General features: G+C 34.3%; 2 pseudogenes across 2 annotated transcripts in view; one reads left to right on the top strand and one right to left on the bottom strand.

The window, feature by feature from the left end:
• FTLP10 (ferritin light chain pseudogene 10) overlaps positions 1-6,756 on the top strand; it is a 30,179-nt pseudogene extending 23,423 nt beyond the window's left edge. Inside the window, exon 3 of the transcript NR_015446.2 lies at positions 6,592-6,756. The product of NR_015446.2 is annotated as a ferritin light chain pseudogene 10 (transcript). The remainder of the gene's footprint in view (positions 1-6,591) is intronic.
• Positions 1-12,366, bottom strand: part of TMPRSS11BNL (TMPRSS11B N-terminal like (pseudogene)) — a 33,952-nt pseudogene extending 21,586 nt beyond the window's left edge. Inside the window, exons 1-2 of the transcript NR_104048.1 lie at positions 12,192-12,366; positions 6,648-6,763 (exon numbers count right to left, since the gene is read on the bottom strand). The product of NR_104048.1 is annotated as a TMPRSS11B N-terminal like (pseudogene) (transcript). The remainder of the gene's footprint in view (positions 1-6,647; positions 6,764-12,191) is intronic.
• Between the last annotated feature and the right edge of the window lie 4,241 nt (positions 12,367-16,607).

Genomic DNA, 16,607 nt, shown 5'->3' on the forward strand with positions numbered 1-16,607 from the left:
TCAGCATACTATTGCAAGGACAAAAAACCATACACCACATATTCTCACTCATAGGTGGGAATTGAGCAATGAGAGCATATGGACACAGGAAGCGGAACATTACACACCGGGGCCTGTTTTGGGGTTGGGGGAGGGGGGAGGGATAGCATTAGGAGATATACCTAATGTTAAATGACGAGTTAATGGGAGCAGCATGCCAACATGGCACATGTATACATATGTAACAAACTAGCACGTTGTGCACATGTACCCTAAAACTTAAAGTATAATAAAAAAATAAACAAAAATAAATAAATAAATAAATAAAAGTGAAATCATACAATTGTGACATTTTTATTGTATATGTTCCAATCTTCCAGCTAAGGCAACTTGCTGAAGGTAACCTGGGGGAAAAAAAAGAAAGGACATCAGAAATTACTATATCATAATTCAGAGAGTCTGCAAATTAGGGAGATTTCTTCAGGGCCACCCCATCTTCTTACCTCTTAAAAAATGAAACTAAATGGACCCTGGGGTTAAAGAAAACAACAATTAGATAAGATAATTTTTGAGATAATAGGTGAAGATATAAACTGCAGACTCCCTCAGCCTGGAAGTCCGAGACAGAGCATTAAGGGAAAAAACATCCATAATTAGAAAAGAGAAAGTTAAATTGTCCCTGTTTACAGGTGACATAATCTTATATTTAAAAAAAAACTAAAGACGTAACCAAAACATTCTTACAACTGATAAATGAACTCAACTAAGTTTCAAGATTAAAAATTAACATATAAAAATCAGTAGCATTTTTATACATCAATAACAAACTGGTTGAAAAATAAATCAAGGAAACAATCCCAATTACAATAGCTACAGAAAAAGAGAATCATAAAATGAATTTAACCAAGGAGGTGAAAGATCTCTATAAAGAAAACTACAAAACTCTGAGGAAAGAAATAGAAGACGCTCAAAAAAATTAAAAGACAACACATGTTCATGGAATGGAATAATTAATGTTGATAAAATGAGTATACTACTCAAAGCAATCTACAGATTTAATGCAACTCTTATCAAAACACCAATGACTTTTTTAACCAATGACATTTTTCACAGAAATAGAAAAAACAATCCTAAAATTGTTTTGGAACCACAAAAGACCCAAATAGCCAAAGCAATCCTGAGCAAAAAGAACAAAGCTGGAGGCATCACACTACCTGACTTCAACGTATACAACGTATACTTCAACAAAGCTATAGTGACAAAAATCGTGTGGTACATATTTACAGTTATCTGATTTTTGACAAAAGCAACAAGAGCATACATTGGGGAAAGGACAATCTTTTCAAAAAATGGTGCTGGGGAAACTGGATGTCCACATACAGAAGAATGACACTAGACCCCTCTCTTACATTGTACACAAAAATCAAATCAGGGTGACTTACAGAGTTAAATGTAAGGCACAGAACTGTAAAATTACTTGAGGAAAACATAGAGGAAATGCCCTAAGACATTAGTCTGGGCAAATGTTTTATGAATAAGACCTCAAAAGCACAGGTAATAAAAGCAAAAGTAGACGAATGGGATTATATCAAACTAAAAAACTTCAGCACAACAAAGAAAACTATCAATAGAGTAAAGAGACACCTGAAGAATAGAAGGAAACTATTCATCCAACAAGAGATTAATATTTAATATCTGAAATATACGAGGAACTCAACAGAAAAAGAAATCCAACTAAAAATAGGCAGTTGATCTGAATAGACATTTTTCAAAAGAAGACAAACAAAGGGACATCAGGTCTATTTTTTAAAATGCTTGGCTGGGCGTGGTGGCTCACACCTCCTAGCACTTTGGGAGGCCAAGGCAGGTGGATCACCTGAGGTCAGGAGTTTGAGACCAGCCTGACCAACATGGTGAAACCCTGTCTCTACTAAAAATACAAAAATTATCCGGGCTTGGTGATGGGCGCTTATAATCCCAGCTACACAGGAGGCTGAGGGAGGAGAATCACTTGAATCTGGGGGGCGGAGGTTGCAGTGAGCCAAGATCGTGCCACTTCACTCCAGCCTGGGTGAAAGAGCGAAACTCTGTCTCAAAAAAATAAATAAATGAAATAAAATAAAATAAAATGCTCAACATCATTAACCATCAGGGAAATGCATATCAAAACCACAATGAAATATAATCTTACCCCAGTTAGAATGGCTGTTATAAAAAGACCAAAAATAACGAATGCTGGCAAGGATGTGGAGAAAAGGGAGCTCTTACACAATGTTGGTAGAGATTTTAAATTAATAGAGCCATTATGGAAAACAGTATGAAGTTTCTTCAAAAAGCTAGAAATAGAACTACCATATTGTCCAGCAATCTTACTACTGGGTATATACATATCCAAAGGAAAGAAAATTAGTTTGTCAAAAAGAAATCTTTGCTCTCATGTTTATTGCAGCACTATTCACAATAGCCCTAAGTGTCCATCAACAGATGAATAGGTAAAGAAAATGTGGTATATATACATCATGAGATACTATTCTGTCATAAAAAAATGGAATCCTGTCATTTTCAGCAACATGAATGGGGGACGTTAAATAAAATAAGCCAGGCAGGCACAGAAAGATAAATACTGCATGTTCACACTTACATGTAGAAGCTAAAAACTTTGATCTCATAGATGTAGAGAGTAGAATAGTGGTTACTAGAAGCTGGAAAGTGTAGGAGAAGGGGAATAGGAAGAGATGTGTTAACAGATACAAAATCAAAATTACTGTTAGGCAGGAGGAATAATTTCTTGTCTTCTAAAGCACTGTAGGATGACTATATTTAACAATAATTTATTATGTATTTTCAAATAGCTAGAAGAAAAAATGTTGAGTGTTCTTGACAAAAATAAATAGATAATGTTTGAGGTGATGAATACATTAATTACCCTGACTTGATCATTACATATTGTATACATATATCTAAATATCATCCTAAACCTTACAAATATATACAATTACTATGTGTCAATTTAAAAAAAAAAACACTCCCTCAGCCTATAATCTACCCTCTAGGCCCACTTCTTACAGTATTCTTTAGAAAACATCTATCCCAAACCCCAAAGGGTAAATAGTAGTTAAAAATAATGCAGTAGGGAACCTCATAGATCTTGGAGGAAAAAAGCCAAAAGGAAGAAAAAATATTTTTAAAAACTAGAAGAGGAATTACCAAGGGAACAAAAATGTGTTAACAGCTAATTCCAATGGTCTCAAAGATGCAGTATACAAAAGAATTAAACAATGTACAACCATTTAGTAAAGAAGACAAGTAAGCTGCAGAATTTAGTAAAGGAATGCAAGAGGAAAATAAGACTATCAGAGATAAAAGCCACATTGAGAAGAACAGATACAGATTTTTAAAAATCTTGTATCATGAGGACAGGCTTGAGCAAAACAAATAAAATAAAATTGAAAAGAGAAACTAAAACTGTTGAAGGAATAAACAATATGAAAGGAAAAGGAGGTCCAACAAATGCATAATTGGCGGCCCTGAAAAAAGAACTCAACAAAGAAGTTTAAATCTGTCACTTTAAAGGGCCCATTTGTTCAAAGAAAAATTAAAGGATGAACAGAATACTAAGACTGAGTGGATTTGATGAATCTATAGCATAAATAATCTTGTGATGATTTGGCAGAAAAAAACAACAAAATAATTTACATTTCTATTTACAAATAGGAAATGGTCATGATCTTTTCTTTGACAACACTAAATTTACAAAAATACAGTGGGAAAAGTTTACAAAGTTCTAAAGAAAAGATAATATAAACAAATACGTTTTTTGCTTATCTATTGTTATGCATGTAAAATCTCAGGAATTTCAGCAGCTCAAAATCTTATAAGAATGACTTCAAGAAGACCTATAACAAGCCTAGAGATTAGTCATAATAAGAAACTCAAGAATCAAGAACTTTCACTTAAAGATGATAAATTTAATAAATGCATCTATACGTGTTTCTTCCCCAAATCCCACTAAAATGATAGGAAAATTGTGTGGTTTGGGGTTTTAAAGAAGTTAACTCATAATGACAATGATAATGGGAAAGGAGGCAACAACAGCATTATGAAAGCTGGACACAGGTGAGTGGTAATTCGCCTAACGGACTCAAGAAACCTAAAACCTTATATTGTAGTGGGAAAAGTAAAGGCATGTGCTGTCTTAAAAGAGCAGCTTAAATGGTACCAGGCAATCATGGAAGTAAGAATAGAAGAAGTGAAATTAAAACCAGAAAAATTGATTGAAACAACTAGCTCCCAGTGTCTTTCCCAACTGCTAAGGTTTTCAGACCATGGAGACTGAAACAGTTGAGGTCAGGTGCACCACACTCAAAATATCTATGCTGGACTCTTCCCAACTTGACTACAGAAAGCTACCAGCAAATATATTCATGCAGAACAAGGGAGGAATTTTCCCCTGTCTAAGAATTCCGACCAATGCAAGAGAAAATACCTAAATATACTGGTAATTTAGGTTCTCTCAACAAAACATCTAACCAGATAGAACATCTGTAATAAAAACCATCACCAATAGGCACTTCCTTCAGTCAGGTCTTTGATTCCCAATCTTAAAAATTTGCAGACACCAAAGGATCAACATATATTTGAGAAAAGTATGAAATAAGAAATATGACCAAAATAACCAAAGAAAACCTTGGAAGAAAAAGACTATTCAGGCAAAAAAAAATTTAAACATTATTATCCTCAGAGGAAGTGTAAGAAATACGATCACGATGTTATATAAAGGAACATTTAGATAATTAGACAGATATCTCAGAATTTAAATATATAATAACAGAAATAAGAAATCAATAGAAAGTTTAGAAAGTAAACTTGAGAAAATCAAGAACTTGATTTTTTTTTTTTTTTTTTTTTGAGATGGAGTCTCACTCTGTTGCCAGTCTGGAGTACAGTGGTGCAATCTTGGCTCACTGGAACTTCTGCCTCCCGGGTTCAAGCAATTCTCCTGCCTCAGCCTCCCAAGTAGCTGGGACTAGAGGCACGCACCACCACGCCCAGCTAATTTTTGTATTTTTAGTAGAGATGGCATTTCATCATGTTGGCCAAGATGGTCTCAATCTCCTGACCTCGTGATCCACCCGCCTTGGCCTCCCAAAGTGCTGGGATTACAGGCATGAGCCACCGCACCCAGCCAAGAAAGTGATTTTTTTAAAAAAGATGAAGAAATGAAAAACATAAAGGAAAAGATTAAAAAATTACATGTCATATTTAGGAGTCTCACTGTCAAAATAACAGGAGCTTCAGAAAGAGAGCATGAAGGACAGGAAATCAGCAAAGACATAATCCAAGAAAATTTCCAGGCACTGAAGTACAATGAATTTTCAGATTGACATAGCCCACTAAATGTCATCACAACAGATGAAAATAAGATCTCCACTCTGTCACATTACCATGAAATTTCAAAATACTGTGGACAAAGAAAAAAAAATCCAATGAGGTTTCAGAACATGAAGGACAGGGTAGAAGAGGTTTCCTCAAAGACTCTAGAATCAAAATGTCATCAGACTTCTTGACAGGAACTTTGAAGGCAATAAGACAACAGAGTATTAGCATCAAAATTCAGAGGAAAAATTGCTTTCCACTTAGAATTTGATATTATTAATTAAGGTAAAGGGTAGAATTAAGACATTTTCAGGCACACAAGTTGGCGAAAATGTACACTTCCCATTGTAACCCTTTCCCAGAAAGCTCCTGGAGTATATACTCCACTACAGCTGAGTGAATGCAATAATAAAAAAGAAATATGGAATTCAGGCATTAGGGTGTCAGATTCAACAGATAGTTGAAGGTAAATCTCAGGATGCTGCTAAAGGGAAATCCCAAAATGACTGCTATGTTGCCAGAGTATGAATGTGTACAGAATCTTCATTCTTCCATAGTAGAAAGTGAACAGATGATGCCAACAATTGAAAAATTAGAATACAGCAATATTAAGAATCAAAGAATTGAAAGTGGTTGTATTTGAGAAGTGAAAAACAGGGATAGTGAAGGAGGGGCTGTGTTTGCATAAGAAAAACTCTGAGTAACTATTTGATTATTTATGAGCATACTAACTTTGGAGGAAAAAAAACAACACCCAGGCATAGCAATACCGTGAAGAAAGAGTTGATGATGAGTATATGCTCCATCTAAATATATATTCCAAACTAAACAACTGTAGCAACATTTATTACAGACCAGAACAAAGTGTTACAAATGTTGACGATGTAGTAAGAATAATATTGCTAACAAACTACTGAGAATTGTAGGAGGAAAATGAAAAGTACAAATACATGATTTTCTTGTCTTTCATAGTAGGATATAAATGATATAATATCTAAAGTTAAAACATAGCATTTTTTAAAAATGACTTCAACTTTTCTTATGTTTTCCAAAGTCTATCTGTGCATTCATGTCTGTGTATGAATATCCATTATTTTATCTGTGTATAGTGAAAAAGATGTCTGCAATACAGTGTTTGACAAATGTTAGCAATGCTTATTTCTGTAATCTGTGGTTCCTGGTGCCATTTTAAAGGGAGATAATTCATTGTTTCCAATTTTTTTTTATCTTTTGTAGAAATTGAAATAAAGATTACAGTAAAATGAAATAAATGAAATGTATTATTTACCAACCTACTGCCAGAAAATGAACAAGGAGACCAATAGTTATTCCAAAGATTGCCAACACTCCAAACACAAGAAGGGCAATCATCCATAGTGACACAGATGTACAGGAAGCCATGACTGGTCTGCAAGTAAAGGATGATATGAATATGAAGGCTCTATCAGAAATACCACAGTCATTTTAAATCTGTATGTCTTGTCTCCTGCTCGCCCCTAGAAACTCTACAATTCAGACACAATAGTAATAAAAGACATTTTAAAAAGGAGGAAGAAAGGGAGAGCAGAGGGAGGGAGGAAGAGTGAGAGGAAGAAACAAAGATTTAAAAAAATCAGCTTGCCTTAAAGCTTTTGATTGAACCTCTCTAAATCTGTTATGAGGTTACATTTAGGAGTATAGTGGTTGGTTACAAGTTATCGATACTTGGCACCTTGCTCCCTCCCATGGTCAAGGATTAGAAACAGAGTATCAGTAAGTGAAGATCTTGTCAGGTCAGAGGGGTGGGGAAGGGAAGGGAAATGTCTTAGAAGTTCTTTATGCCTAAGCCCATATTAATCTTTTAGAGTATGATCATGATCCTATATTATTTATTATGCCTTTATTTTATACAAAGAACATGCGCAAATATGAAGTGCTATACTGTGTTAGAGCACTGTCCATCTATCTTATTAGCTTATTTATTACTCTGTTTCAAAGAACTCTTTCGTAGAAAAGCATGTCGTGATGAATCTACAATGTCAGGTATTTTCACTATGTCTTGTTTAGGCAAAAATTTGTATTGAGAGCCTCAATCTCAGTTGAAATAAGGATCTGTGGGAGTTTTCTAGACAAAATGACATAGGAAGACATCTAGGAAGAGGGAACAACATGCAATGCTTAAAGAAAGACCAGCAATTCAATTTTGTTATGGCAAACTGAGTCATTAATCATTCAAAGATGACATCGGAGAGTATGATGGCTAATTTTATGTGTTAACTTTGGCTAGGCTGTGGTGCTGAGCTGTCTGGTCAAACATTACTTTAAATGTGGCTGTGAAGGTATTCTATAGCTGTAACTAACGTTTATAATCAGTTGACTTTAAGTAAAGGAGGTTACCTTTAATAATGTGGGTGAACCTCTTCCAATCAGTTGAAGAACTTAAGAGCAAAAATGAAGGTTTCTGGGAGATGAAAAAATTCTGCTTTGAGATGATAACATAAAAATCCTTCCCGAGTTCCAGACTGGCAACTTGTTCTATGGATTTCAGACTTTCAAACCACACAGTTGTGTGAGCCAATTCCTTAAAATAAACCTGTATGTGTATGTTTGTATATATGTGTGTATGTATATCTGTATCTTCTATTGGTTCTGTTTCCCGAGAAAACTGTGCCTGACATGAACAGAGAAGTAGTAGCAAGAATTACCCTTGATACCCCACAAGGATGTTGAGATTTTGACTTCTGCATTGAGGCTCTTTCAAGAGCAATTGGAGAGTGACCTTAATCAGAATCACCTGAGGTGATTAAACTGCAGATGGTGGAATCCTATTCCAGATCAAGTGAAATAGCATTCCTATAAGGGCCTGGAAATTTGCACTTTAATAATCCTGGTGATGCAGATTCTCACTACACTATACACTATCTTTATGGTAAAATACAGAAAGACTTTAATCTATGAAGGCACGTTGTCAGTTTTTTTTCAGATTTTTTTTCAGATTAGAAGTAGCATGTGGGTGCACTGTGTATGATAGATTGGATTATAGAAAAAATAAATTGGGTTGATGATTTCAGGAATATAAGATCTTTTTTAAAATCCATCTTCTATTGATGTTTTTTCATTTTTCTAGAAAATGATTTCATACCATTTTTCTCCTCAAACCTCCAGCACCATCTGACTCATCCTCACTCCTAGTTGATAACCATAGTATTCCACTGAGAAAATGGAAGGCATCACTAAAGAATATTTACAATTCCATCATCATATTTCTGAACTTCTCTTCATCTGTGCCCCAAACTCTCTTTTCTTCAAGTTTCTATAAATAAACTGCATGTGTCCCTGACTTAGGCCAACCCCTCCACTATCTCTTCTCACTCTCCAACAAATAACCTATGTTCTAGACATTTCAAACCTTTTACAGCTCTATGGACACATAAGACTCATGTCTCTATGCCCTTGCACTCTCCGTTCCTGCACCTAAAATGTTCACCTCAAGTCTACCCTGTGAGCTTCCACTCAAACTTTATCACTCAACTCTGTCATATCCTTTTCATTGTAGTCTTCCATGGTCAATCATATTATGTCCTACATTCATAGTATTTTTTTATTTTTACATTTCAGTCTTTTTACCTTTAGTTTTTAGCATGCTGTGATCTGGGACCACATGATTATTTGTTATTTTTTATATCCAGGATATTGCACAGTGGCTAGAATTAAAGGTAATTTTTGTTGAATAAGTGAATGAATAAAGATCAAGGGCAACTACATTTTGGAGGAAAGATCAGAGGGACCCAAGTTATATAAAGCCTTCAGGGCTAGTCAAAAGAGTTTTGACTTTATCTTGTGGAATGACTAACATGAGGGCTTGTAGTTCTTAGGAAGATGAAATTGCAGGTAATATGCATGATAATAGTTGAAAGGAGGAAGAAAGTAAAAGAAAATCAGTAAGGAAAGAGCCTATTCTATTCCACGAGACTGGAATGATGGGATTCTGGGTGATGATAATTAGAAAGAAAGTAGGAATTCAAAAAAGTTTACAGGAGTAAAATATATGCAAGAACTTGGTAATTAGTTAACTATATGGATAATGGATAAGGATATGTTAATGACACAAATTTGCCTCAAGAGGAAGGGGAGAATAAAATGAAATCTAGAAGAGATAAATTGGGGAGAAAAAAATTGTAAATTTTTCATATTTTGAGTTTGAGGAGCATTGAAATTTTCAGGAAACAATTGGAGATGTCAGACTCTTAGTTAAATGAGGACTGATACTTGGAAGTATAAATTTAGAAGTTATCTAAAAATAAGAGAGAATCAAGGCTGAGAAACTGGATCAGTGTGTCAGACGACTTATTATATTAAAAATTAGACAAAATCAGTATTTCTTTTTCCAAGGCAAACATTTGTTTTCATTCCAATGATGGCTAAATTATCTCAAACTTTTTATACCCTTCCTGAATGTCACAGTCTTATTCTTTAGTATCTCTCAAAAGCCCTTAAATAATGAGCATTTTTTCCTCATTGTCAAATTTAAAATATTGTTGATCTTTTAATGATGTATCAACACTTAGTTCATCTCATAAGCATTCAGCTCCACCAAAACTACCTTACTCACTGGTTGGTTCTCTAATCTCAACTCATCATTTTTTCACTTTTCTGTCTCCTGTGAACTCTTACTAATTACTTTTTTCCTTAATCATTGTTTAATTGAGGATACATTTATACATTTCTTATTTTGGCTCGTTTTATTGTTAAGCTTTTAATTCAGAACAGATCTTTGCATAGATTTGGGCAAATGTTTTATTTTATCTCTACAGTTTGTTTTCAGAAGTTGTATTCTATAAGAACAAAAAACCCTAAATTTATTAAAATGTAATCAAATATGATGTTTTAGAATTCACCCAGACACTGTGGATTAAAGGTGAAAAACTGAAATGACTTCCTAATTTTCAACTTTATTTCATTAGAATTGCTATAGGATTTAATATTTTCATTCCTTATCCCGTTTTCCATATTGATTATCTCTTGTCACAACACAGATGATTCTCTGGGTTGTAGCTACCTTTAATTTGTAACCTAAAGACTTTATGACAATGACATAGATTAAATAGCTGCCTAAAAACGGCAAAGAAACTTCCCAAGTAGAAAGAATATCAGCTATTAGCCAATTTCTGGTAGTCCATACAACAAATTCTTCTGGAAAATCACATAAGGAATTACTCGGAGGGGACACAGAATATAAATTATATTTTGCCATAAAAAAAAATTCCTGGATGTAAACTTCTCAATACTTCCTTTGCAAAAATCTAAAACATTGCCTTCTTCTGACATGTTCCTCATTCTATTTGATAGGACTAACTCTAAGAAAAAATTTGAAATTGATAAAATGTGGTTTTGAAGTCTTTATTTCCACTTCTGGTATTTTTTTTTCTTTCTCTTAACTATTCATCAGGCACCCACATGCAAGCACAAAGTTCAGTAAGATCTTCTCAAATGTACAAGCAAAGTAAACCAAGTTTCTAAATCACTCAATGTTCTGCTGTGTAATCAGATTAATGCCTCATTCTGAGAAGCTAATCCCTGAATTAAGGCTTGAACCTTTCCCAGGTAACAAGTATTTATTCAAAAGAATGGCTTAATCTTTTGAAATCTTTCAGGTTAGAACTTCTCAGTATGAACTTGAAATCTTTCAGGTTAGAACTTCTCAGTGTCAGTATGATGAAAGAAAAGGTGGAGGTGCCTTAAAGGAAACAATATCCACTCAGCATAAAGGTGATGACTCCCTGGTAGGCAAAACAAAACAAAACAATCATGCTGTTTCTTTTCCACTTTTAAATGTGTTTGATCACTCTTTTATTGATAGATCAGAAATGCTGGTAATAAGAAAACATCAGGGTTATGAATAAAATAGCATCCTTAATAAAAAAGAAATAATCACATAACAAAAACCCTTTTACTTTACTTAAAGAAAAATTCTTAGTATATTCTATCACAGTGAATATTCTCTGTCAAATCACATTTTCATATGAATACTGATATTGTGAATATATATATATAAACACATACACACATATCTTAAAGGGTTCAACTATTGACTTAAAATACACATTTTAGAAAACTATTTGTGTAAGGTATGCACTTATATTTCATAGTTATCCAAACATTAAGTGTTATAAGTTAAATTCAGTTAATTTTGCTATATTTTATGTATATAGATGAAAACTCCTTGTGAGCTGAAAGTATGTTCTTAAAATGTTGCCATTAATGATCGCTGTTCACTTATTGTGATAATTATCTAGTTAGATACTTTAAAAATAGATAGCATGTGTAAATACATAATTATATGATTCTGGTTCATGAATATTTAACAAGTAAAATATGTAGATTTACATACGGTTCAACAGAGAATACTTATGAAGCAATGACACTGTGAGATTCAATATAATATTCATGAAAGCCTTTCGAAAGCAAGAATTGTTTAACAAATACAAGGAAATCCTAATCCTCATCACTATCAACAACAATTTAGCATTTGTTTTATAAGAAAAGAAAATGTTCCCTCCGCTACCTGCTCTCTACAACAGTCACACATTCATATTATTTTTCATTCACAGGAGGTTTAGCTGCACATCACCTTTCTGAAGCACTCCTCAAATTATTACAAAAAAACTATAGATTGCAAACACAAGTGTATATGACAGGTTTGTCTCCATGCAGGAAACCAAAAATGCTGTGGAAAAACTACAACTTTCTTACCCAAACTCAGTTGTTTTACTGCAATCTTTGGGTGGGAGTCATACTGGGGAGATAGTGTTAATTCTATCGATGTCAGAACTTTAGGCAAGCAAATCTCAACTTACCTATACATAATGTGCTGATATAATGGCTGTTGAAGTAAATAAATATAAAGAAAAGTTCTGCACTTCTTTTGTCCTGATCAGTGCTTCTCTGGTAAATGTGCTAACCGCAATGATAGTTGAGATTTTAAGGGCTGGGTAAAATAGCAAAAAACAATGAAAAGGAAACTTGTTTAACAAGTGTGATGACAGCTATGGATCTGTGATTTAAAGGAAGAAATGTAAATCCCCTTTGAGTTGGATATTTAGAAAAAAAACAAAAAACAAAAAACAATAGATATTACTTGGATTGGTGTTCTGAGAGGTCCACCCCCAAAATACCACCACAGATGGGTGAGTCAGTGTTCTGACTCAAGTTCCATCCATCCTTTCATGGCATAGAGCTCCTCCCAGTAAAACCGACTGTATCTAACAGATCAGTCTTTGACAAATAACTTAAATGTAAATTGTCTTTATTTGATACAATTATTCTGCCACAGCAGTACTCATTTGAAACATGCTTAATCCAAAAATTCTCACTGAGGCTCTGCACATACTTTTGCAGAAATTGATTTACAGAGGGAGGTAGGTTTTAGAGTAAGAAACAGTTCTGTTTTAGAAATTCTTTATACGAAATGGAACTATTTAATCTAATCAATAGTTATTTTACTAAGTGAATATAATTCAATATAATACCACTAAAAAGAAAAGAAACACTAAATAAAACTGCACATTTTTAATGGGTGCTAATAAGTGTATTTAAATTCATGTACATGTTTATAAAGAGATAAATAAATATATGAAAATATCTGGAAGGATTCGCAAAATAAGAATTACCTCAGAGAAGGAAAGAGACAAGAATTGGAAATGATGATTGGAAAAAATATTAGCCTGATCTATAGTGGGTTCATTTTCTTCACAAATATAATGTATTCATATATTCCATATGTAATTAAAAAGCAATTAAGAATACTTGTTGAATTGAAATAAAAGCTTATCCTTTATATGGATCTGAGTAGGGAAAAAAGATAGAATTAGCAATAAAATTTAGCTTTTGGGGGTGTCAGGACAAAATTAATGTAAACTAAAAACAAACTGTATTTGTTGACTTTGTGAAACTTTCCGGACTGAGATGGTGTCTTAAAACAGTAGGCACACAATCTATGAGAATACAGTGGATAAAAAGTCTCACAAAAAGTGTGAGCCAGTTTTTACAGCATTCTAAGAATATATCAGGGAAAAAAATGTCAGAGAAGGGCATCCCAGACTTGGAGTACACCACTTGGAAAGACACATAATAGCATGTTCTAGAAATCCCAACTTATTGAGTGGTTGAAACATAGGCTACATGCAAGGACATGATAGGACATAAAAAAGAAGCATGTAGCAGCCAGATCCTGATAGTACATCTCATTTTTGTTCAGCTGGACACCATGACTACCTCCATGAAGCCAGCCACCAGTCCAGGACCACAGAGATGAAAAAGAGTCCTTGAGGGGCTCACAGTCTAGTAGGAGATTCAGATGCATAATTTTTACACCTGTGGAAAGTGTAGTGACAGGTGTAAACCTGGGGCAACCTGGAGCCACCATCCTGGGGATGTAAGGGAAGGCTACCTGGTGGGAGTGACACCTGAACTGTGTTTTGAATAATGAATAGGAAGAGTAAGTCAAGCTTTTTATGGATTTGCAAGTCATAATAAAGAATATGGGTTTTATTCCTTAAGCGTGGTGAGATAGGGAGGTAAGGGGAGGAGTAGGAGTTTAAGCAGGAGATAGAGGTGCTGCCAGACTAATTCTCCATGATCATTAAGATGCTTGTTCTTGAAGAATGCCATTATAGTACATTAAGGATAGGTAGGAGGACTAACAATTCAGAATTCACATTTTCTTTTAAAACAAAAATGCCAGATTAATTTACAACATAGTACCTCTCTGGCTCTTAAGTTACCTTCTCTGATGACGGCTTGGTTTGATTTTTTAAAATCTTCTCTTTTTTTAATCAAATGCCTGGGAAAGGTAATGTGGGAATGCTCTCTCATTACTCTGGTTAGTGATTTCTGTCTCATTGAATGTTGTCTTTAGCAGATGAGATAAATCTGACTTAAAGAGCATAAATCTAAATTTATAAAACCTGAGGTGGTTATTTAATGGATTCTTGTATAACATGTATTCCTATATTTAGTGAAAATAAAGTTTTGTTTACTCAACCATGAGTGTCTATTGTGACAAATTTTAAATGAAGATAATTAATTTTTAAGGCAACAACACAAGAAAGTATAATATATTGGCCGAGTGCAGTGGCTCACTCATGCCTGTGATCCCAGCACTTTGGGAAGCCGAGGCAGGTGGATCACCTGAGGTCAGGAGTTCGAGACCAGCCTGGCCAACATAGTGAAACCCTGTTTCTACTAAAAATACAAAATTAGCCGGGCATGGTGGCACGCACCAGTAATCCCAGCTACTCTAAAGGCTGAGACAGGAGAATCACTTGAACTTGGGAGGTGGAAGTTGCAGTGAGACGAGATTGCACCATTGCACTCCAGCCCGGTCAAAAAAAGCAAAGCTCCATCTCAAAAAATAAAATAAAGTAAAATAAAATAAAATTTAAAAATAAAGTTAATATAATTATTTAATTTTCACAATTAAGCATCATAATTATGCAGGACAACAACATATTCTAATATAATTGGATTATTTTGAAATCCATTATTCACTATGAACTGTAAGTCTGAAATGCCCTTAACACATATCATCATGAAATGTTTCAAAAACAGATTCTTCTGAAACTTTTTCCTGCATTGAAATTACGAAAAATAAAAACCAATAAGAAACTTTATTCACCACCATCAGTAGCAGGCAGTACTTAGGGCATTTAACAACACATCTGGCACAATGGCCAAAAGCTAGTTTGTAATGTTATGGCACAGAAATTGTGCTCCAGTTGCATCATCTAGTGAAGATTTCTTTCAAAAATATAAATGAGAAATAATTACATTCAGTGGTGTGGGGTTAGTGTCTAACAACGAGGTCTTGATACCAGTGGGTGGGAGCTAATTAAAAACGTTTGCCAATTTCCACAGTGTAAATACATCATGGTCAATTTCAAGCTATGTACATGACATCACTAACTATGAATTTAGGCAAGGATGAGCAGTAGCATTCTATTATATATCACCATCATATAGACACAACATATGCAAATAATCTCAAGACCATGAATACTAACAAAATGTAAAATAATGAAGACATAATGCATTTTGAGTATTTACTGCCTTTAATTTTTAACTATCGCTGTTTCACTCTGGCTCATATGATTCTTGAAGTTTTAACACTCAGTTCTTGTACATTGCTGCAAGCCAAATTCAGCACATCATTGCTTCACTTTAATTATTAAAATTTGCAAATACTTCACAAGTTTGAATTTTTGAAAGGACTTATAAAACTCTACACAGAGTACTCATATAAAGCTTTTATTTAAAAGTAAAGTATATGATAATTATACATTGTACACATGTATCAAAATAGCACATGTACTCCCAAAATATGTAGAAACAATTATATATCAATTAAAAATGTAAAAATAAGTAAAGAAAGCAAAGCAGCAAGAGAAAGAGTATAGGCAAGTATTAGGGGAGCCAAGAGATATAGAGGTGCAAATGCCCCATGGTCCTTATTCATACATACACACATTTTGTCTCCAGATTGAACCACCAAAATCAGTGTGATGAATCTCAACTTCATGAACACTCAAGGCAGAAGTTCTCAGTAGGATCTTGGGTCAGTAAAACAAAATGGCCCAGAGGTTGCTAGGAGAGTTTCAGACTTTAAACCTCACATAAATCTCACTGGACTTATTTTGGCCAAGAGCCAAAGCTAAGCAACTTTTTTCCCAAAGAAAAGCATTCCCAAAGAAAAGGATAGAGTTTTCCCAGTCCAGCTGTATATTAACTCTATCCTATGCAAAATCCAATAATGAAATTAACAAAAAATAATATTTCAAATATTTGTTACTCAGGATGATTCCACGTCCATGCTTTTGAAATGTAGAAGACTGAGAAAAGATGAACAATTCTATTTTGACATACTAATAGAAACTGCCTATTAGATTTTCACATGGAAATTTTAGAGATATGCCACTGAAGGTTCAGGGAGATGGCAAAACAGTGACTTCTAAAGCTACAATTAAAACACTTGGAAGTGGAGGCAGAGAGTTGGTATTGAAAGCCATTGAACTGGCATGTGTGGTGGCTCATGCTTGTAATCCCAGCACTTTGGGAAGCTGAGGTGGGTGGATCACCTGAGGTCAGGAGTTCAAGACCAGCCTAGCCAACATGGTGAAATCCTGTCTCTACAAGAAAAACAAAAAATTAGCCGGGCATAGTGGCAGGCACCTGTAATCCCAGCTACTCAGGAGGCTGAGGCACGAGAATTGCTTGAA

The sequence above is a fragment of the Homo sapiens genome, chromosome 4 (genome assembly GCF_000001405.40).
Source record: "Homo sapiens chromosome 4, GRCh38.p14 Primary Assembly".
NCBI classification, from domain to species: domain Eukaryota; kingdom Metazoa; phylum Chordata; class Mammalia; order Primates; family Hominidae; genus Homo; species Homo sapiens.